General features: G+C 37.0%; 1 long non-coding RNA gene across 3 annotated transcripts in view; it reads left to right on the top strand.

Moving 5' to 3' along the window:
* Positions 1–23,561, top strand: part of LOC105371310 (uncharacterized) — a 134,908-nt gene extending 111,347 nt beyond the window's left edge. For all 3 annotated transcript variants that reach the window (XR_001752234.1, XR_001752233.1, XR_001752236.1), the window contains 2 exons: positions 20,038–20,164; positions 23,424–23,561. This is a non-coding gene — a long non-coding RNA (uncharacterized LOC105371310). The remainder of the gene's footprint in view (positions 1–20,037; positions 20,165–23,423) is intronic.
* Positions 23,562–25,272: the final 1,711 nt, after the last annotated feature.

Raw genomic sequence — 25,272 nt, forward strand, 5'->3', positions numbered from 1 at the left:
TTAGTAGTTATGTTTTGAAAATAGTAGGAATGGACTATCCCTCAAACCATTGTTTTTTTGGGTTTTTTTCTCCAGTAAAATACGTATGTGCTTTACTATTCCTTCTTTGGTTTACATCAAAGAGCCTGCATTGTGAACCTACTGCGTGCAAAGTGCCCGGAAACTTTTGAGGATGGGAAGATTAAGGTCTCCTCATGGTTTCTCCGGTGCCTGCAGACTCAGGAGGAAAGAGATAAGCAAACAGGAGTCTTGCAGGACAGTGAGGGGCGAAGGGATAAGTGAGACAACAGAGTGTAATAACAGGGGCCCTAAGAACAGAATCATTTGTATAACGGTTACATGGTCATTCCTATAGAGGACAGATTAGAGTAAGAATTTACCCAATGGAAAGTAACAGGGGGTGGCTCTACCTAGGCACAAATAAATGAAACAACATATTTTTGTGTAAGAATCACGAGTAGGCTGGGCGCCGTGGCTCACACCTGTAATTCCAGCACTTTAGGAGGCCGAGGCAGGCGGATCACTTGAGGTCAGGAGTTTGAGACCAGCCTGGCCAACGTGGTGAAACCCTGTCTCTACTAAAAATACAAAAATTAGCCAGGTGTGGTGGCAGGTGCCTGTAGTTCCAGCTACCTGGGAGGCTGAGGCAGGAGAATGGCTTGAACCAGGGAGGTGGAGGTTGCAGTGAGCCGAGATCGTGCCATTGCACTCCAGCCTGGGAGACAGAGCAAGACTCCGTCTCAACAACAACAGCAACAACAATAACAAAAACAAAAAAGAATCACAAGTATTTCAGCAGGGATAGAGAGGTGAGCTATCAAGATGTACAAGATGGAGCTTGAGACATAAGCATGAGATAGCTCAGAACAGTCTTTGTACACTGCTGTTGGCCCTTCTGCTGAAGGCAATAGGACTAGGTTTAAGCAAGAAACTAAGGTACACTGATTAGCATTTTGGAAGAACTGTCTGGCTTCTAGGCAGAAGGTGGTGTCAGAGCAACCAAGACTAGTTGCAGAGAGATCACATAGGAGGACTCCAGCATTTTCACTGTTGGAAATGTAAGGCTTCTCTTTCTTCACCTAGATCATAGATATCTGGGCCTTGTGCTTTATACTTCATTCAAATTTGTATTATCAGTAGACATAATAGGTTTTGAAAAATGCATATTGAATAAAAATTAGCATTAATTTTACTCTGAGTTAAATTACATTGCCATATCTATGTGTTCATGTATAAATGTGTTAAATATACATATTTATATATGTATATATGTCTATAAATTACAAACACTCATATACTTTGATAATACATGTTAATGAAAAAGCATGTATTTTGGTTGTGTAGAAGTAGAAACATTAATTCAGATATAATAACTATATAAACCACATCATGTTTTATTTTAGAATCAAACCTTTTAAATCTTCATTACATAAAGACTTTCAGTCAGGCACCATGGTGTGCATTTATGGTTCCAGCTATTTGGGAAGAGGCTTGAACCCAGGAGTTTGAAGCTGCAGTGTGCTATGATCATGCCTGTGAACAGCCACTGAACTCCAGCCTGAGCAGCATAGCAAGACCCTACCTCAAATTTATGTATATAATGAACCAGAAAGTACCTGTATTATTGATATTAAATGAACCAGAATGTACCTATATTAAGTGAATTATTATATTAAATGAACCAGAATGTACCTGTATTATTGATATAATAAATCAAATATATATATTTATTACATATATTAAGTATATAAATATATATTAAATATATATATATATATTATTAGATGGATCAGAAAGTACCTGAAGAAGGTTTTGTATCCCTAGTTTTTTCAGATATGATGTCAGAAATCCAAACATGGAACTACAAACCTTGTATTGATGATTGAATTCTCACCTTTCTGATACATCAAAACATTTACTTCAACATCTTACTACCTTAGTTTGCTAGGGCTGCCATAAGCAAATGCCACACACTGAATGGCTTAAACAACAGAAATTTATTATCTCACATTTCTGGAGGCTGGAAGTCCAAGATCAAAGTGTTGGCAGGTTTGGTTTTTCCTGAGGCCTCACTCCCTTGGCTTGCAGATGGCCACCTTCTTGCAGTTTCCCCACACAGCCTTTTCTTTGTGCTTCCCTGATACCTTTTCCTCTTCCTATAAGGATACCAGACATATTAGATTAGGGCCTTAACTAATCTGTCCTCTGACCTCAACCTCCAAATATACAGTCACATTGGGAATTAGAGTTTTGACATGTGAATTTTGGGGCAACACAATTCATTCCATAACTGTTATAAATTTCCCTGATCAGGAAGTGATGAAGAAGAGAACTCTTCTTCTAGAGTTATACTTTAAGGAAACATCTTGAACACAATCAGAAACTAGACTTTTGGCAACAGGAAAAGCAATAGCATTGGAAACTGTAGTGGAGGCTGTGGTGTGTTACCCTATTGTCCCCTTTAAAACTAGGGCATTCATTCCTCTAGCTGCTGGAAGTGTTGCCTGCTGAGAAAGCTCAAGGCTAGGTTGCTTTCCAGAATTTCCCAAAGCCAAAATCAGTTTCTTTGTCCAATGCTAGGTAGCAGTACAAATCCAAAGATGCACCAATATAGGCTTCCAAAGCCTAGCCCCTAAGCTTCTGCATGGATGTGACAACTCAGAAGTGGCATCCAAAGTCCAGACCTTCTTGTGTTGATGGCTAAATCCTTCATTGAGACTGCATTTCAGCCCATCTTCTACCTCTGCCCAATTCTGCTTTCCACCTTCTCTTCCACAGAGTGGAACAGAGAGCACTGAACACAAATCTGTTTTATTATTCCCAAGAAATCTAATTATATATATGCCAAACATTGGAATGATGAATAACACTAAAATAATCCATTTTAATGACATCAATCTGTGGAAATAGAGGACATAATTTATATCCATATTGTTTTTAAATTATTGATTATTCCTTACTAAATTTGTTTGGTATTACATTGCACCATGATATAAGCATCATGGGGACAGAAATGTTACGAAATTGGTTCTTAGAAGCATTCATAGCATCAAATAATATACCTGAAATATTGGGCATACCAATAAAGCTTAAAATTATAGCTTATTGCATATTCCTTAGAAAGCAGATAAAAATCTTAGTATAGTTTTGCATGTACAATTATTGTATATCCATCAAAGACTGGGTCAAAAGCTACTTCATAATGTTTGCATTGATTTACCCCAGGTAAAAGAATCAGTCCTCACTGAGTTCTCTGCTGCTCCTTTGCAATGTCTGTTCCTTCCTGCCATCTATTACAGTTATTTAGCTCTCTTTGTTACATTTTTTTATTAATCAGCAAACCATGAAGTTGAATGAAGGAAATTGCATCCATTCTCCATGATGGCTGAAGAAGGTGTGGAGGAGGGAAGCCACATGTGGATGGAAGCTTTTTGAAGCATAAACATTTGGATACACTCTAAGATTTGGAACAATCTTCACCATGACCAGGAAATCATTTATATTGCAGTATCCCCTACTGTGCCTAAAAATGTGATGTGTTCACTTTGTCTTACAATTGATTTCTAATGACTTCAAACTTATATATCTTCTTTGTGTCTTAAAGTAAATTTCAAATAATGGAATGTCAAGCATCAGAATAGAGGGGTAGAGATGTACAAGTATTGCAGTTATGTCCTTGATACTGATTTAAGTAAGCACTACCTACCTCTATTCTAACATTGTTGTAGATTATGAACCCTGGTAAATTTTATAGCTGCCACCTTTGTCTGCCTGATCCTATACGCTTAAATCTGTCCAGTCCACCTATGTATGAAGTGGGAGGAAGAAAACCAGTACAAACTAAACTTACATCTCCAGCATTACATCAGGAAGTTCCAGACCCCCTCAATATCTCCTGAATAGGTTATGCTCTCATTCAGTTCTGCGGCATAACAAATTCTTGAGCTCTGAGAGTTCTCTCTCACTTCTAGGACTCATCTTGTTGTGGCATGTAGAATTTAATTCCTGCATCTTAAACATGCTACTTTTTGTAGGACATAGTTGGAGCTCACACTCTTTCTGTTCTTTAGATATTTGAGTCAATGAACTGTTTTCAACAAATATGAATAATGGCTGTTTTTCAGATAGTTTCTGCTTAATTTAGGTTCCCAGAAATAAATACTGAGATGGAGAATTTTGGGCAAGACTTTTTTTTTTTTCCTGGTGAGTGCTGTCTTCAAGATTGTCCTAAGTTGGGATGAGGTGCTTTTTATGCCTTTCCATGAAAAAGTTATTTGAGGTAGGCTGCCTCCACGGGAGAGGATGTGATCTTGGCAAGACAACTGTCTTTATCTGAGGCAATTCTCCAAGATGCTTGACAACTGAGGGCTGTCTGTTGGCAGCATTCCCAGCAGCTGAGGAATAAGTCCTCTTCTGTCTTAAAGTGAGATCTGGACAGTGTTTCATAGGCTCCTATATTTGGTAAGTTCCAAGAACCTTCCAATAGGTAAATATGTCTTAATAATCTAATTTTTGGAAATATATCATAAGAAAAAATTCAGTGTGATGGTCTTCCTGTGAGAATAATATAGTATTTCTCAAAGTGTGATTCTGGAACACCACTACTACTAGGAATATGTTGAATACTGAATAACAATCTCTGGCGATTGGTTCAAGGTCATTATATTAATTAATACCCCCCTAAAACCAAGTGAATCAGAACTTCTAGAGTCTGTGGAAAAGACTGCCGTGTAAGAGGGAGGATTTTCCTGGACTTAAGGCAAAGCCATCTTTACTGGTATGTGTGTTTGGTTGGGGGAAGGGAGGCAGGTGTGTGTATGTGTGTTGAATGAATGGTAAGTATTCATGTTGATAATGTGACACAGGTAGCAATTTAAGTGCAAATGGTATATGAAGGCCTATTTTAATAAAAACAATATTTTGAGGATTTAGGTTATTTTGTTAAAATAGACTTTGAATGAGTGTCGAAAAATTTTTGAAAGAGCAGTAAATTCATTAGAATGTAAGATATTTAGCCATTTCAAGTATCCATAAGCAACCTCAGTTATCCAAAATCATTTGGAAGCCTTTGGATAAATGGGAATTTGGTTAAAATATCTGGTTAGATGGTGGCCAGGAATGAATCACCGGCTAGTGAAACCCATCTAGTAATAACCTGGGATCTACCAAACAAAACTGTTTTGTGCACAGGGACTGCAAGAGACGATATAAATGTTGGCCTTCAAGATAGCCATGATTTTTTTAAATTATCACAATGGATCAAATTCATTGTCATTAATATCTGAGCTCTGTCAGCCCCTTGCCTTCCAGCTCAATGATGATGTCTCAACATTTACATCTCCATCTGCAACATCTTGGCTAATCTCCAGATATATTAATTCAAATTCCTGCTTGAAATCTCTACTTAGATTTCATATAATCCCACCTGAGCATTGACAGAGCCAAAAGCAAACCTTTTATTCTCTACCACATCCTTCCAAATCTGTTTGTTCTCTGGCCTCCCTATGTCATTAAGTAATGCCACCATATTGAAATTGTTCAACTGAAAACTTGGAAAACAATCTCAATCCATGACTCCTTCAGCACCTTCCTAAAGCTAAATGTAGTATAATTGTCTCCAACTGGCCTTCTTTTCACTCTTCTCCCAACTCCAAGCCTATATTTTCTCCCTACAGCAGCCAGAGTCGTTTTTTCATATTATCATTAGGTAGCATTATTTCCCTTTTGAAATATCATCAAAATATTTTCATAATACATTTTATAACATACCAATGACACCTACCATATCGTACACATTCTTACTTGGCATGACCCCTGCTCATTTTTCCAACTCTTTTATCATTCTTTTCCTTGTTTATTCTTCAAAGCACAATGACATTCCTATTAATTCTGGAAAAATAAAAGTGAATTCTTATCTCGGAAATTTTTTCTTGCTGTATTCTTTTTCTGGAATGATCTGCCTCCAGGTCTTCTCCAGGAGGGACTCTGAATATTCCCACATGTACCCAAATATTACCTTTTAGCCAAGCTTTTTCTTAACAATTCAATATAAGTCACCACCTTGTCCATCTTCCCCTAACATATCACCTTTTATTTATGTATTACATTTGTCATTATATTATTTATTAGTGCTTATTAATTTATTAATATTATTCTTAAGATAACTGAAACTCTACAGATAAAGTATCTTGCTTGGCTTATTGGCTACCATGTTTTTAGCTTCAGTCACAGTGTTTGCATATTGCAAACATTCAACAAATATTTTTGAATTAATGAATTGATATCAATCATAATAGCAATTGCTAACTTTATTTAGCACTTAATATGCACCAGTTTTAAGCAATTTAAATGCACTATTTCATTCCATTCTTACATTGGCTTTATGAGGCACCACTATGCTAAAGAAAATTACAATTGTTAAAAAATTACAGCTTTATCCTGGTAGAATTTATATTAATAAACTTATGGGTGGCTTTATTTATCTGTTTATTATATAAGGAAATGAAAGTGTTCACTAATTTTTAATTAATTTCTACATAATTTCAAGGTGGAAAAGAATATAATAAGAGTAGTATATGTGAACTGGGGTATTTTTGTAAAACACTGTCTTAGTCCACTTTGTGTTGCTTATAAAAATACCTGAGACTGGGTAATTTAAACAAACAAAAAAGAGCTTCATGTAGCTCATGGTTCTTTAGGCTGAGAAGTTCAAAGACATAGCCCTGGCTTCCAGCAAGGGCTTTCTTGCTGTATTACAACAAGTGGAGAATGGTGGAGAAAGACAAAAAGGAAGTGGACTCATGTGAACATGAGAAAACATGAGTAGTGTCTTGGCTTTATGAAAGACTCATTCTGGTGGAAACTAATCCATTTCCCCAAGAATAATCCCCCTTCACAAAAGTGAGAACTGACTCATTACTGCTATATCAGCACCAAGTCATTCATAGGGATCTGTACCCCTAACCAGTTACCTCCTAATAGGTCTCACCTCTCAATACCACTGCATGGGGATCACATTTCAATATGGGTTTTAGTGGAGGAAAACAAATCATGTCCAAACCATAGTAAACCCAAACATTTTCCTTGGCAACGTCAAAAATCTACTTACTTAAAGCAAATGAACCAGTGTCTAGAAGTAGAGCATCTTTTAGTTATACAAACATATTATGCTAATGGGGCTTATTCTTTTATTACTATAAAGTATTGTGAAAATGTTCTCAAATTGTTTTGGAAAATAATTCATGGAAAAAATAACAAATTCTCATAGAACTGCATGAAGCAATACTGCTGGAAAACAAAATAAAATGTATGATGGTGTTTTATTGATGGTAACAATATCATCTAGTACTTAGTTGGCAAGATTAATATGTATCTAGGACTTGGAGCTATTAAAACCCATCAAAAGTATCTCATTAGCTGTTAAAGTATTAAGGAAATAGAATTGCAATTATCTAAATCATCAAAACAAGTCTGCTTAAAATTTTATTCTCAGAGGTTTAGTAAAGAAGATATGGCATTTTAAAATAAATAGTCCTCATGACAATTTACTTAAAGTCATCATGTGATTCTTCACCTTGGTCATGTAAAGAAGTATGAGTTACTGCCTCTGAGTTGGCCTGATATGGCAAGACTTTCAAGGTGAGACTATCTAATAAACTCCCTGAGTGTTAGCTAATAATACTTAGTGTCATTCTATCCTTCCATATAAGTTGAATGTGAAGTGCAAGCTATGGATTTGGGAAGATGGGCAGAAGAACTTAAGAGTGTTTTGTAATAACCAGACTTAAAAACTATAATTTAAGATGTTTTGTCGTTGTTGTTGTTGTTTTTGGAGTAGGGACAATAAATTTAGCTTCATAACCAATAGAGTCTGAGATTATGGTCAAGGAGGTTATTATCTGGTTTTGATCTGGGTAACCTCTAGCTTTATTTCTTTTTCTTTATGGTATTTACCATTGAAAAGTTCATATCACAAAAATTAGCCAGGTGTGGTGGTGTGCACCTGTAGTCCCAGCTACTTGGGAGACTGAGGCAAGAGATCACGGAGGTTCTCGGATCACGAAGGTTGCAGTGATCCAAGATCACGCCAAAAAAAAAAAAAGTATTAATTATAGATAAAACTAAATGCTTACTACGTACCTCATTCTCTCAGCCATTCTGTTTGATAAATTTCATGATCAGTAATCTTTAATATAGAAAATAAAGACTCAGATAATTAAGTAAATTCCCAAATAGGTTAAAAAAGCTGAAGTTCAAATTCAGGTCCAGTGTTGATTAGAAAACACTGGGCCCCAATCGATGGTCCTTAGTCTGTTCTTGAACCCTCTCCTTCCATTTCCCTTTATATAAATTCAATGTAAGACTATACAATGATCACCACCATGCCAGACCCCATAGGAGGTAGCAAAGAAAAAAGAATACCTAGCTGGATCTAATTCAATATTTGTGCTGATAATTAAATGTGATTTTTTAAAATGCTAAGCACATTGACTGGGTTTATCAAATCATGGAGTTTATTTTTTCTCCTCCTCCTATTTGATGATGATGGTGATGATAATGATAATGATGACTCTATTTCTGTCTTTAGGAATTTAAATCTAATAAAAGCAACAAATATAAAGACAAATAAAATCATTAGATATTAGAGGTGCTATGAGTACAGGGGATGTGTCTTAGAGTATTTGGTTTAAGAGATATCTTAAGTTTTGAGTATGATTTAGCTTAGCAGTGGAGAAGGAAGTCTCAGCATTAAAACTTTCTTGAACAGAGATGTGAAAGAAATGCTCTCAATCCCAAATCAACTTGAGGCTGAGTAGATAGTGGTAGAAGATCCTCTTCTGGAGATTCTGACCCCTTCTCTTCAATGCAGACCATCAAATCTCCTGAGGTTTATAAAGCTCCAAGCCGAATCCCACTCCATTCAGTAGTGTCAGATTTCCCTTCAAGAGAGGAATAAAAAGGAAAACCTCTGTGGAGTCAAATATATGCATCTCTCTCAAGATACACTTTAGAGCTAAAATGTTCCGCCCCTGATTCAACAGAGAGGCCTGTTGTAGGGCTTTCTAGAAGCAATGGCTCTGTGAATACCTGTTCTGGTTCTTGTAACTTTCTATGTGAAACTTTCTGGCATTGACTGGTTTTAGTCATTTCTATCCCTGCCCTGCCCAACCACAGCGACTTGCAATGATTTTTTTTTTTTCTAGTCACTGATTAGTTCAGCTAGGATGAATCTGATTTTTGCTTAGTTTTGTGCAAATTTCCTCCTGTGAACTGCTGCTGGTCTGTTGGGTCCCTGCCAAGGACACTTCCTCACCTGGAATCTTGTTTAAGGTTTCAGGCAGCAAGTTGGCAGCTGAGATGTTTGTAGTCATAGTAACTCCAGCGGAAGATTAGGGATGCACCTACGTGAAGATGTCTGGCCATGTGAATGTGAAGCTGCCTTTCTCAATTCTTCCTTCTATCCATTCATTCACTGATTCAGCCTCCACCCATTCATTGAGAATCTCCTATATTTCCTACCTTGCATTTGATACAGGAAATGCAGACTTGAACATTACTTAGGTGCTGCCTTTAAAAGAACCATTCATTATTTAATCCCTGAAAAATTTTTTTAGGACTTCTATACGCCAACCCTTCTCTGAGTTCTTGAAATGTAGGGAGGAGATGAATAGGACACAGTGCTTATCCGTATAGTATATGTCATCCAGAAAAACAAAAGAGCAACCACTATGCATAGAGCTCAGTGCCATATACATTATTTTGAATCTACTAAAGTACACAGACATAAAAGCAAACTTCACTGCAGTAAGGGAAGTGTCACATAACTTAATAGTAGTGGATCTCAACCATGTACTATATGGCCCTACCTGGGTACATTTAGTAGTGTCTGGAGCCATGTTTGATTATCAGACCGGAGGAGTGTTACCAGCACTGAGTAGGTAAAAGACAGCAATGCTGCTAAATGCCCTACAGTCTATAGGACAGCCCTCCACAACAAATAGTAATCCAGCCCCATATGTCAATAGTGTCCCGACTGGGCTTCACTCTACAGACAAATGCAGATGGCTACGAGTGAAAAGGAAGGTTTGATTCACCATCTTGAGGGTCAAAAAAAGGCTTTCCAAGAAGAAAGCATTTCAGTTGGCGATTGTGGACTTCACTACACATTAGCATGATTTCTTATGAACCTGAAACCTTATAGAGTAAACACCAAGTGACAGAAAATCCTCTTTGGTTTATTTTCACCAAAATTACTGGGGAATATTTTTTCCAAGTGATTTTGTTAGATATTCCCAACTACTCTGTCATGGATATGGAACAAATAACAAATACTATTTTTCTGTGAAAATTAAAACCCAAAAGGATCATGTTTTGTTTTATACATCCCTCTTAGTCCTAAGTCACCACTGTTCATAAATGACATTGCTAATCAAGTCTGATAATTGCCGAAAATAAGCCATGTTACTCCAGCAACGAAGAGACAGGAGAAATACCAGAAATTCTTCGCAAGGTATACTGATAATGTTCTGTTGAACCACAAGTTGCACTTTTGGGTGATTAAGTATCAGGTTCCTTGGATATTTTTTTAACCTCATTAGAAACCTTCTATTATTTAACAATACCCTAGTTAAATAATCTGACAATACCATGCTGTTTTGTTTACTGTAGGCTTGTAATATAGTTTGAAGTCAGGTAGCGTGATGCCTCCAGCTTTGTTCTTTTTGCTTAGGATTGTCTTGCTTATGTGGTCTCTTTTTTGGTTCCACATGAAATTTAAAGTAGTTTTTTTTTTTAATTCTCAAGAAAGTCAATTGTAGCTTGATGAGGATAGCATTGACTCTATAAATACTTTGGGCAGTATGGCCTTTTTCACCTTTCCTCCTATCCATGAGCATGGAATGTTTTTCCATTTGTTTGTGTCCTCTCTTATTTCCTTGAGCAGTGGTTAGTAGTTCTCCTGAAAGAGGTCCTTCATGTCCCTTGTAAGTTGTATTCCTAGGTATTTTATTCTCTTTGTAGCAATTATGAATTGTGGTGTATAGGAATGCCTGTGGTTTTTGCACATTGATCTTGTATCCTGAGACTTTGCTGAAGTTGCTTATCAGCTTAAGGAGATTTTGGGCTGAGATGATGGGGTTTTCTAAATACACAATCCAAAACAGATATATAGACCAATGGAACAGAACAGAGGCCTCAGAAATAATGCCACACATCTACAACCATCTGATCTTTGACAAACCTGACACGAACAAGCAATGAGGAAAGGATTCCCTATTTAATAAATGGTGTTGGGAAAACTGGCTAGCCATATGCAGGAAGGTGAAACTGGATCACTTCTTTACACCTTATATAAAAATTAACTCAAGATGGATTAAAGACTTGAACATAAGACCTAAAACCTTAAAAACCCTAGAAGAAAACCTAGGCAATACAATTTAGGACATAGGCATGGGCAAAGACTTCATGACTAAAACACCAAAAGCAATGGCAACAAAAGCCAAAATTGACAAATGAGATATAATTAAACTAAAGAGCTCCTGCACAGCAAAACAAACTGTCATGAGTGAACAGGCAACCTACAGAATGGGAGAAAAATGTTGCAATCTGTCCATCTGACAAAGGGCTAATATCAAGAATCCACAATGAACTTTAAACAAATTTACAAGAAAAAAACAAACAACCCCATCAAAAAGTGGGCAAAGGATATAAACAGACACTTCTCAAAAGAAGACATTTATGTGGCCAACAAACATGAAAAAAAGCTCATCATTACTGGTCATCAGAGAAATGCAAATCAAAACCACAATAAGATAACATCTCACCCCAGTTAGAATGGTGATCATTAAAAAGTCAGGAAACAACAGATGCTGGAGAGGATGGGGAGAAATAGGAATGCTTTTAAATTGTTGGTGGGAGTGTAAATTAGTTCAACCATTGTGGAAAACAGTGTGGCGATTCTTCAAGGATCTAGAACTAGAAATACCATTTGACCCAGCAATCCCATTACTGAGTATATACCTAAAAGATTGTAAATCATTCTACTACAAAGACACATGCACATATATGTTTATTGCAGCACTGTTCACAATAGCAAAGACTTGAAACCAACCCAAATGCCCATCAATGATAGACTGAATAAAGAAAATGTGGCACATATACACCACGGAATACTATGCAGCCATAAAAAAGATGAGTTCATGTCCTTTGCAGGGACATGGATGAAGCTGGAAACCATCATCCTCAGCAAACTAACACAGGAACAGAAAACCAAGCACCGCATGTTCTCACTCATAAGTGAAAGTTGAACAATGAGAACACATGGACACTGGGAAGGGAACATCACACAATGGGGACTGTCAAGGGATGAGGGGTTGGGGAGGGATAGCATTAGGAGAAATACCTAATGTAGATGACCGGTTGATGGGTGCAGCAAACCACCATGGCACATGTATATGTGTATGTAATAAACCTATTACATATGTAATAAACCTGCACATTTTGTGCATGTATCCCAGAACTTAAAGTATAATTAAAAAAAAAATAATAATCTGACAAATGGCGTCATTTTGAATGAGGACCATTAACAATGACTATTTAAACCCTTTAGAAGAGCATTGATTTGAGGAACTACCCAAAAAACTACCAAGAAAACATAGAATTGTTCAGAGACCACATTTGGCAGGAAATGGATTAAGGAATGGAGTTCAGCTTCATTAGTTATTTCTCTAATGGACTTCCCACCTTCAGGAAATGCCAGAGTTAATCAGGTAGATAACTCTTCAGATACTTTGCATCACCTAAAGGTTTACTTGAGGCTTATAATCACTTGCCCACTTGACCATTTGTAGCTATTTCCTTTCAAAGCAAGTTACCCATATCTGCTTATTCTACCATCTAAACATTTTTCTAATCTGTTCCTAATTTCTGCTCTCCAGTGCACAGCTGGTTTAGGATATTGACTACCCTATCTTTTATATTCTGTTCCCATATTACATCTAAATTATTCAGCTAACATATTTATCTAAAATCACAAACATAATTGGATTTATTTTGAAAGAAATAATCCAGGAATGAAAAACTACCTCAGGATGGAAAAAGAAGATAAAGTTAAAGTAATTACAATGAAAAACAAAAGGAGTTGTCTAATTCTGCCTGGAAGCCATTATGTAGAGGTCACCTCTAACTGCTGAGAAGGGGATTAGCAAATTTTAGAGAGGTGTTAACAGCCATGATCAAACTGTGACCTTCTCTTCCATGTAATCAGGACTGAAATAGCACTGAAAAAAGGACCTCATCACGTGAATGGTGATAATTTTAACCTATTTTGCACCCTGTAACTCATTCTATGCCTCACCAGTGGTATGGATCCCTCACTTTGAGAAACAGTGATTCAGGCTTGTCATCTTAGCTTGGACCATGGCAAAGCATTTAAATAGGGCTCTGTCTCATTCCCTTCCAAAATGCCCACCACACTAGGCACCCATGTGACTTGAAAAGGCAGATTTCTTTTTTCTTTTAAACCTTTCTCACTTTAAACCATACAGTGGTTTCATTGTACGGTATGTGTCTCCAAAAAGAGTTACTACAAGGAACAGAACTTTAAAATTTTTAAAAAAAATTTCTGAAAGTTGTGTTTTGAGTTACCAAAAGACAATCATGAAAAGATTGAAAGGTGTGGATGTAGTTTCTTTCTTCTATCTTAGCCAATAATAATAACTAATATTTATAATATCAAATTACTCAAAATACTTAAAGACAAAACAGTGTCAGGAACTATTCTAAGTAGTTGTATATATTAACAAGTGAAACAGATCCGAAAACTGGAGTACAGTGAAGTAGTGTCCTGTCCAACATTTCAGACCCTATTAGTGGCAGAGCCAAAGCATTGCTCAAATTGAACACAGGTGGTCTGGCTTCTGAGTCAGTGTTTTCAGTCATCTTTAGAGTAACTCAAAATCTAATATATCTCATTAGAATTTTTGGTTATGTGCACATTTAATAGGTTTACATCCTTTCAGCTTCTTTAGATGAAATGAGGGACACTGATACAGAACACCAATTTTATGCAAACTACAGACAAACAATTTTCTGTCAGTTTGGTTATCAGTGGACCTGAACTGTTGTGTGTGTGTGTGTGTGTGTGTGTGTGTGTGTGTGTGTGTGTGTAAGACAAGAAGGGAAGAGTAGAGAGGAGCTTTGCTAAATTGTATAGAGATAGTATATTATGAGGTGGATTGTAAGATCATTTTCACACATTGGACATTAATTCTATAGAATACCATTGGATTCTTAAACTTTTTATGTAGATTCTTTAAAATGGTCATTTGCAGCTTGTGCTAAGCATAAAAATGGATTACGCATTTTTAGGCCTGTCTTGCAAAGAGGTTATGATATCAACAGTTCCTGTTTCCCATTTTCAGGGCAGAAGTAAATCTAGATTCCTCTTGCAAGACACAGCTTGTCACAAATGCTAGACTAAACATTCAAAAATGAAGGTGAGCTCCAGAGAGAGCACAGAGCTTCCAAAGGCCAATTTGTACACCCTGTCTTGAGAGCTATTTTCTGACAGACAACAAAAGATGCTGTTCTCAAAAGAAGAGCTTATTTATTTGGGTTGTCTGCAGTAAGCTTGTTTGATGTTTCTTTGACTCTTGATCTTTGTTGGAGGAAAAGTGGAAGAGGAAGAGAGACAGAGAAAAAAAAAGTCTATTAAATTGGTAAAGTTCTGGTTCTAATGTTGGAATAAAGAACTCTTTAACCCAGCTGGAAATACAGATCTACCTTGGTTTGCCTTTCTCTAGCTTCCACAGCTGTTTGCTGTGGGCTGTACTCCAGCTCTCCCTGCTGGCTCAGAACCACTTGCTCCTTGGGACAATGCTGGCAGGGGGAGGAAGATATTCAATACTTTAAACTTACTCTCACCCCTTTTATGAATATACAGGGATTAAGATTAAGTTGCTGCCTCCTATGTGGAATCTGGGGAGTCAGTTTTGATTATTAGACGCTGGCTTATTGGAATGGACTGTTGACTACCAGGATAATTTTGAGTCTATAAAATCTTTCTTATTCCATAATCTTAGCCTGGTTAGTAGCACTCTTCTCAATTCTTTATCCCCTTCTTTCCTTCTCTCTCTCTCCTTTCTCATTCTCTCTCTTGTCTATTCATTTAACAAACATTTCTGACAGTTTTTCTACCATTATCTATGAGAATCATAAAGGACTTTCACAGATACATTAAAACACAATTTCCTAATAAAGATGTCATGATATATGGGAAATTATATGGAATATCACTTATTGGTTAGCTGTTGGGATGTCTTTGGAAGATATCTAGGACCTCTTCAGAACTGGAATTAGAAAAGCCACAAAGAGCCCAGGAAATCCTAAATCTTTATTCTCCTCTTCTATGCTTATCTCTAAATCTGTGGTATGTTCTCCTTTGTACAAACTGTTTGTCTTGGTTGCTTCATGTCCAAAACACGTATTTTCTAGGTTAAATTGTTTCTATTATGCAAGTAAAACCAAACTTATTTACAGGCTCCCAGTCATAATTCCAAATTTCCCAGAAAGACAGTCTGATTGTCTCCACTTGCTTGAGATGTAATGCCGATGTTTAAGTGATTTCTTGAAGAAGAGCTTGTCTCTTTTTCAGCCATAATCACTTGCTCTGTCTGGTAGAGATGTCCTCTCCTCTACTTTTGTAGGTCTGTCTTGAAGCCCCATATCATCATCATCATCGCCGTTGCCCTGATTATCTGCTAGAGTCATGTTATGGCACCCCCTGGACTTGATTTCTCTCCCTGGGTGCCAGCAGAATACTTTAACATATAATAAATGTTCAATTAAATTTAGTGGCAGTTTAGTAATGATGACGTTTATGATCAGCAAGAAAAGAAAAAAAATATTCCAGGCCAAATGGCAGTTAATTGAGTCAAATTTATCTCAATTAATTAACTGGATTAATAAGTCTGCTTAGGCAAAATTTATGTCCCTACACGGTAGCCAGATAGGTAAATAGAGATAGCCTTAGAAGAATACATGTTATGTAAACACTCAGTAAATATCAGTTAATATTATTTATCCTCCCATAAAAGTGGCTTGAGGTGTGAAAAGAAACCTGTGTGTGTGCCTCTCTGTGTGTGTATGTATATGTATCGTTTCCCAATACCCTTTCATCTTTTAAAAAAAAATTCCTAAGTCATTTTCCACCATCCCAATTATCCATTTTGAAACATATCTTATTTTTTATGAATTGGTGTTTTGAGGGTACATACATTTCAATATCGATTTTTGAAAATTATTTAATACTGTTAGTGCTGCTGGATGGGATAATGACAAAAGGAGGTCTTTAAAGAAAATGTTTTTTATGGTAAGAAAAATAGAAGCACTGGAAGTTCTAGCCAGAGCAATTATACACACACACACACACACACACACACACACACACACACACACACACTCACACACACGAAGCAATAAAAGAAATAAAGGGCATCCAAACTGGAAAGGAAAGTGAAATTATCCTTGGTGGCAGATAATATGATTTTATATTTAGAAAAACCTAAAGAGTCTACCTAGAAACTATTAGAACTGATAAACAAATTCAGTAAAATTGTGGATATAAAATTCTAATACAAAAATTAGTAGCATTTCTGTATGTCAATAGCAAACAGTCTGAAAAAGAAATGACGAAGGCAATTCCATCTACAATGGCTACAAATAAAATAAAATTCTTAGAATTAAACTTAACCAAAGACGTGAAAAATCTCTACATTTAAAACTGTAAACATTAATAAAAGAAATTGAAGTGGGGACAAGAAATTGAAGTGGGGACAATAAATTGAAAGATATCCCATGTTTATGGATAGGAAGAATTAGTATTGTTAAAATGTCAATATTACCCAAATAAATCTACAGAATCAATGCAATACCTATCAAAATAACAAATATAATTTTTACAGAAATAGAAAAAATATTATAAAATGCACATGGAATCACAAAAGACCCAGAACAGCTCAAGCAATTCTGAGCAAAAAGGACAAAGCTGAAGATATCACATTACCTGATTTCAAATTCTAATACAAAGCTATATTAAACAAAACAACACGTTACTGGCATAAAAACTATACATACAGACCAATGGAAGAAAATAGAAAATCCTGAAGTAAATTCAGGTATTTGCAGTGAATTCATTTTCAACAAAGTTGCCAAGAACATACACTGAGGAAAGGAGGAAAGGACAGTCTCTTCAAAAAATTGTGCTAAGAAAACTGGATATCCAAATGCAGAAAAATGAAACTAGATTCCTATCTCTCACCACATAAGAAATCAAATTGAAATGCATTAAAGACGTAACATAAATCCAAGATGTGAAACTATAAAACTTCTAGAATAAAACATTGGAGAAACACTTCAGGCTATCGGTCTGGGCAAAGATTTCTTGAGTAAGCCTTCAAAAGCACAGGCAACCAAAGTAAAAATGGACAAATGCAACCACATCAAGCTAAAAAGCTTCAGCATAACAGAGGAAACAATCAATGAAGTGAAGAAACAACCCACAAAATGGGAGAAAATATTTACAAACTATCCATCTGACAAAGGATTAACAACCAGAATATATAAGAAGCTCAAACAATGCAGTAGGAAAAAATAATCTGATTAAAAATGGGCAAAAGATCTAAATAGACATTTCTCTATTGCTGCTTTACAAGGGCTGTTTTCTGTCTTCATGTATCTGGGTGGCTATCAAATTCTCTTATGATATTTAAAACTTAGAATATTTACTATAGCCTTTGTGAATATGTCCCAATTCTCACCTACTTGACCCTGAATATGTCTTCTTTAGTTATGCACAAGATTCTTTGCCTTGTGAAAGCTCTTGGACAATACTTTTTTGATCTGCTCTTCGATATTTTAGTTTTTGCCTTTGTGCATTAAGAAGTCTGCAATGTACCTGCAGTACTGTGCTAGGCATAAGGGAAACAGCGGTGAACAAAACAGACATCCAGATACTCCTAGAACATATAAGTTAAGGGACAATATGAACCATAAACAAAAAAAATACAAATCATCAACTTGTTAATACACAAAGATCATCAACTGATCTTTTAAGAGTAAATGCCAGGAAGCTAAAGCTTAAGAAAAGTTGTATATTATACACAAGAGTGTAAAACTTAGCTTGGCCAGTCAAAAAAAAAAAAAAAAAAAAAAGGTGTCCCTCTGGAAATGATGTTTAAGCTGAGACCTCAAGGATAAGTACAAGTTATCCAGTTATTGAAAGAGGAGACAATCAATTTGAGGAGAGAAAAAAATATGCTAACTCTCCTTCATGCATTTTTTTATCTATTCAACAGACATTGATTGAATGCCCAATTGATGCTGAGTACTTTTGGAGACAGTGGAAACTCAGAAGAGAACAAGTTAGGAAATTTTAACTCATTTGGTACTGAAATTCTAGTGAGGAAGGCAGAGTGCACACGTTCTTTTGGAACTTAAATTCTAGTCGGGAAGACAAACACATGAGAAAATGATGCTGTTTCTAGCACTGACCTGTGTAATGAATGAAATTTATGACCGGGCGTGGTGGCTTATGCCCGTAATCCCAGCAGTTTGGGAGGCTGAGGCAGGCAGATCACCTGAGGTCAGGGGTTTGAGACTAGCCTGGCCAACATGGTGAAACCCCATCTCTACTAAAAATACAAAAATTAGCCAGGAGTGGTGGTACACACCGGTAATTCCAGCTACTAGGGAGGCTGAGACGAGGATCACTTGAACCCGGGATGCAGAGGTTGCAGTGAGCTGAGATTGCACCACTGCGCTCCAGCAGCAATATACAATAGGTGGGTCTGGGCAAACATTTCAGAGGAGTTAAGTTTCAGTGGGTGAAAATGAAGTACACATGTGAAACTGAGAGGAGTTCAGTATAGTTGGAGTGAAGAACATCAGGGGCAGAGATGTGCATAATTCATCTGGAAAAGTATGTGAGACCAGATCCTGCAGGAATCTGTGATTTTGAGTATTTTCCAAAGGTCGATGAGCAGCTATTAAAAGGTATTAAACAGGGGCATCGCATGATCTTATTTGCATTTTGTAAAATGAGTAAAAAAGATCATCTGTGGAGCATGGATGCCTGTTAAAATCTCTCCTGAGCTGCTAATATGCATATAAAGACTCGACACTGACTGTCTGTACTATTAAAGCTGAACATGCAGGCAACCAGGTGACTCATTAATCCCATTCCTAGGTACATTACCCAACATAAATGCATGAATATTTGCACCAAAACAGATGTGCAACATTTGATATTTGAAACATTTGAAATTGATAGCAACACTGTTTGTAGTATCTCCAACCTAAAACCAAACCAAATGTTCATCCAAAGTGGATTAAATAATGAATTATGTCATATTCATATAATGGAATACTTTGTAGCAATAAGAATAAACAAATTACTGCTACACACAACATTGAGGACTAGGACAAACAAGACATTAAACAAACGAGCCAAATGTACAAGAATACATACTGCGTGATTTCATTTATATAAATTTTCAATGTAGGCCTTTAGTGTTTGAATTCAGAAACTGGTTGTCTTTGAGGAGGAGAATGGGAATACCTTGGGGAGGTGGCTTCGGGATACTGGTGATGTTCCATTTCTTGATCCAGGGAGAAGTGGTATACATGGGAATTTACATTATGAAGATTCGTTGAGTTGCACAATTGTAATTTTTGCCCTTTCATTGTGTATTTTATAATTCAATTAAAATTTTAATAAAACCAAGAAACCAAAAAAAAAAAAATGTTAAGAATGATGGCCACAGGCCAGGTGTGGATTGATCACATCCCAGACCAGAAGGTATAAGAATAAATAAGTAGATTAAAGTGATACTCTAAGGACATTAAGAGGCTCAATGATTGGTCACTGAGGAATCAGGAGGAGTCAGATAATTGTTAGAATTTTGTGTAAATTTACTCTCTCCCTCTCTTTTGCAAGCTTCTTAAAGGTGTGTCTGTATCTCGTTCCTATTATCCCCACAGCCAAACACTACAATGGATGTGGAATAAATGAGCAACAAATATTGAATTAATAAATAAACATCGCACTTTCTGATGAGGCTGGAGGCTCTCACTTGATAGCAGAGGATAAAGAGAAGAAGAAAAGCAGGTCAGTAAGCTGTAGTGCTCTCAGCTGTTACTTCATCAGAAAAGGAAATAAATATAGAGTTGTTTTGAACAGCAGTATCGATGTTTTCTTAGGTCTAGTGGACACAGCAATGAGTCCTGACACGGGGTGGGAGACCATCTATTGACAGTCGGCACTCATCATAAGCCTTTTAAAGTTTTCTGCGGAAAGCCAAGATGAAGTAAAAATAGCACCGTATTATTCTAGGTCTGACTGATGGGAACAGTTGCATAAAGGTTTCTTGTTAAGCGCGTCAAATGTTACCCTTTGTGTGACTTTGGTTTAGCTTGCTAGTCTGATTAAATTCCATTCACCAGCAGAGGAAGCGATTGGTATTTATATGTCTGAAGCTGCTCTGAGTCTGGCCGTCCTAGACAATGTGGATATTTCTGGAGAGAGAGGGAGAGAAAAGCCAGGGTTTATCCACTTGGTTTATAAATGGTCACCAAGAACAAATAGATATTGTGTAACCTCATGAAGTGCAGTCAGGTTCAGTAGATCTGCCTGCATCTGAGCTGTTTCACATCAGCTTTTTTCTTTTTTTTTTTTCTTTCCTGGATTTATAAAGCTTTTAATAGTCATTTGCCAAAGCATTTTTTTTTTCTTCATGGTAAGTGGATTTTTTTCTACAATATATTAGATGCTTAATCACTTTCTTATAATGGGCATATTTAGAAAAAACTGTTTCTTAAAAAAAAATTGAGGTTCATGACTATAAACAACAACTTCACAGCTTGGACCATGGCTAGGCCAAGGGATTTTGAGTGAGGCTGGCTAAGTTTTCACACCTCTGCACTTACTCTTGTCACAGACATGTGACAGCAGTGAAGGAATTTGGGTTAAGGGCCTGTTTTTCCTTAACCGTAAAATCGTGAGCATACTATCTAACTAACAGTTTTATCAGTATTTCCATCTTGCAATAATGTATATTTAACGCCTAAGATGATTCCTGGCATACAGAGACATAAACATATATGCTACTGACCTTCTCTTTGTCCGTATTTTGATACTGAATTACAGTTAATTTTTATGAGCAGCTTTGTTTTATCTTATACCAAGAGCCCTAATTTATTTTACCCTAGGATAATTATATTTCAATTTCGGTTTTGCTTCCGGTTACTTTCCTCACCATCAACCATCAGTATTATTACTGTGTGTCAGTGGATGCTGGTATTCCCATTTGTTCTTTCTTTATCTGCTGTGAAATCAGGTATCTACATTCACAGAAAGGAAGAGCAGAATCTGAGTTCAGGCCTAAGGGGGCCTTCATGGGTGAGTCCCTGGGCTCTTAGAGTAGCCCTTGGACATCTCTCTTGGCTGCTCAGGGTTCAACTCTTCATCCTTGAGGATTCTTCTTGGATAAGTGAGGTCTTGCTGATACGTGTTGGCAACCCCTCAAGAAGTCACACTTTTGCACATGAAGGATAGAAGCTCATTGTAAAGGTCTATAGAAATGAAGGTTAAATATCCTCAAAATAAGATTATAATGCATTTTATGAGAATAGACATTCTGCTATGCTCATTTAAGGGAGGCACCAATGTTAAGAATAACTACACATTCCTACTCTGATAAAAAGAAAAATAGCTGAAATCAGTTTTATCAATAAGGAAAAAAATTAGTACACATTGCAAGGATCAGAGCAGAGCAATGGGAAAGAAAAGAGCAGATCTATAAGCTGGGCATGCTGACAAGTGCCTGTAATCCCAGCTACTTTGGAGGCTGAGAAGGGAGAATCGCTTGAGCCCAGGAGTTCAAGATCAGCCTGGGAAACATAGCAAGACTCTCTCTCAAACACAACTCTCTCTCTCACACACACACACACACACACACACACACACCAAACACAGATCATCTGAGGCAGTGGGTCTGGAATGAACTGGAATGATCATCTGAAATGCAGATGATCCCACCAGGTAATACCAATGTTTCTGGTTGTGGGGCCACGCTTTGAGAACTGGTTCGGATTCTGGCTGCTCAGCGTGGTTAAGCATGGTGCACAGACCAGTAGCATCGGTGACACCTGGGAGCACTGTTATGCATGCAATCTCAGACCCCCTCTCAGACTTACTGAATCAGAACTTGTGGGCACAGTAAAACTTAAGATTCACCAGTCTGAAAAAAAAAAAAAAAAAAAGCAGACCTGAAAGCAAACAGGCAAATGGTCAACCCACTAGTGGAAGAAAATCAGCTGTAATCAAGGGTTAACATTTGGGCAAATTCATATGGAAATGGAGTTTAAATGATCTTGCATGTCAGGAAATTAAAATGGCAGAGGGGTAATGGGAGTTGTCACAATAATATCTCACAAATGGAGAAATGCTGTTGCCTAGGATGACCAATTGTGCACAAGTTACTTTTCATCCTCTGGCTGTGAACAGAGCTCAAAAAGTATATTCCTGACCTTACTTCCTTCTATAAATTATTGACGCTAATACCTCCCTGTCTGTGGATGCACTGAGAGATAACAAAGCACACACGCAGCTCTATAGCCTCTTTCCTTCATATTCTCAATCTTCAGTGTACGGATGAAGCCACCAACCTGGCAGAGCATCCAGGGAAAGCAATTACTTCATTTATGACACATTTAAATTTGTTGAGTAAACAATTTTGAGTCTTCTATGGGGCCTATTACACTTGAGCCTGAGAAGTACTTATTAATAATTTTTCAGCTAATATTTACTCAAAGCACTCTAAATCAGCATTTCTAAATAAAGCTGAGTCCAAAGGGCAGAGGGCTGGTAGGCAGATGATGAGGAAAGCTGACTCTCAACATTCCTTTAGAAAGTTGAGGTTTATAGAGGGTTGGTTTTGGCAACTCCACCGGAAACTTATGTTTGGATAGCCGTCTAATTCTAAACCAGTTCTGACTTTGCCCAGAATTTGGGTATGAGACAATAAATTAGCCTGATATTGTTGGAAAGAAATCTACTCAGGCTAAGAGTCAGAAAACAAACTTGCTTTTATTAGCTCTGTGACCTTGAATATGGCACTTAGCATTGCAGAGGCTTAGAAGGTAGGAAAGTAGGGGTGGGTGGGGGGAACACTTACTGAGAGCAAAGCACAACAGACTTCTACAACAACGGATATTAACCCTGCTTACTCTGTCTCCATGCACTCAAAGACACATGCAAGAGACACAGAGATGTGTATTAAAATGCAGAGTTTGCTGCAAGCTGTTATCAAATCAACTTGATCGTATCAGCCATGTCTCTAAAGTTATCTGTTTTGATTCTTCTTCAGGAACTACTTTCGGCTGGTAAGCAGATCTTACAGTACAGTAGTTAAGCATATAATGTTTGGAGCCTGACTGATATAGGCACAAATCTCAAGTCCACAACTATGTGAACGTTGGTAAGTTGCTAAACATTGTTAAGCCATTGTTTCCACATCTGTAAAATGGAAAAAAAATAATTGTTCCTACCTCAATGCTGTATATGCTGAATGAGAGGGAGAATGTATAAAAGCTCTTACCATAGCATAATACAGAACCTAACACAAACTTAGCCTCAATCAATTCTAAATATTTTGACCACTGTGAATTTTGAATTATTTACTTACACTTTAATCAGGATGGTTATTTCTATCTATTTTATGATCTTTGTCCATCTAGATATCTCTTGCGGGATACTTTCACCTGGACTACATTTGTAGCTATTTAATGATTCCTAAGTCCGATGCATGACCAGTCCTTTATCCCAACCTCTCTTAAGTTCAATCCCCATTCAGGTCCTAAACACATTCACCTTTTTCCAGGTATATTAAGTTTGGTTCCTTAGAAGTGGGTATCAGGAAAAGGATCCATGTGAATACAAATAAATCAATAATCGATTTTTTTAAAATGATAAGAGATAGGGAATGTGGGAAGAAAAGAAGGCCCCACAAGAGTGTGATATCAAACAATGTGCCAGGGAGGTAAATGTTGGCTCAGCCCCACACGTGATCTCTGGAGACAGCATGGATTCTACACAGGTTTGCAGGTAAACTAGCTCCCTGAAAATATTGGAATTATTCCAAACAGATGGCAAGATAACTGGCTATATCCATCACTCATTGTTTGAGGGCTGCCCCAGAAATTTGAAGGTCTCCATGTATTAAGGCAAGTTAGCTACTGATAGCCTGAGGGAAGACTGCCTGCTAAGAAGCACACGTGCTAGCTGTTGAGAGTAAAGGTATACATGGAACTGACCATGAAAACAGTGTAAAAGGAATCATAGGAACATAGGCAGAGCCCTGACAGCATCTGCCATAACAATAATGCTAATATTAATGTAATCAGAAAAGGGGTCTTGATGCAGACCTCAGGAGTGTGTTCTTGCAGACAGGAATTCAAGGTGAGTCAAAGAGAGAAGAGAAGGTTCGTAGAAAGCTACCCTATTACAGAGCAGGGCATACTCAGAACACAAGAAGAGGAATGCTTCACAGTAAGAAGAGACAGTTTCTTGAAAGCTATTCCATTACTGAGTAGAGTGTCCTCAGAAAGCAAGTGGAGGAATTCACTATCTTTGCTTGAAGTTTTTCTTACACAGGAGTCTTACCTATGTAAAGAATAAACTAAGCTGTGCCTACATGTGGGTGGGCTGACAGCATGACAAAATGTATTATTCTATTGATTTAAATAAAACTATCTGTGACGTGTTAGTGTGTAAGTATATTAAAGTATAACTGTAATTATCTTGAAAGCACATATTGTTATGGTTATTGAGAGATCTAGGCTTTCTGTTTTTATAGGAGTTTGTCCTTACAGGCATTACCAAGCTGACTCCTTAGGTAAAAACATCTTAGGACTATGGGTCATGACTAGCAAAGACTGTGCCTTGCCAGTTTTAAGATGGAGTTGATTTTAAAATGGTGGCACTCTGGCTTTCCTAGGCTCCTGCTTTCCTAACATTAACATCCCAGCAAAAAGTTTCCATGAACATAGTAGTCTGCCCTTTGTACTTTTGCCATCATCTCATGTTGCTGGGTAAGGATTATTAGTCCCAGTGATAGATGGTTTAGGTGAATATAATTTAACATACATGCATATGTACACATACATAGACATAAATATTTTCAAATTCCTGTTTAGCAATTTATTCCATAATATTTG

This window comes from Homo sapiens, chromosome 16, assembly GCF_000001405.40.
Source record: "Homo sapiens chromosome 16, GRCh38.p14 Primary Assembly".
Classification (NCBI taxonomy): Eukaryota; Metazoa; Chordata; class Mammalia; order Primates; family Hominidae; genus Homo; species Homo sapiens.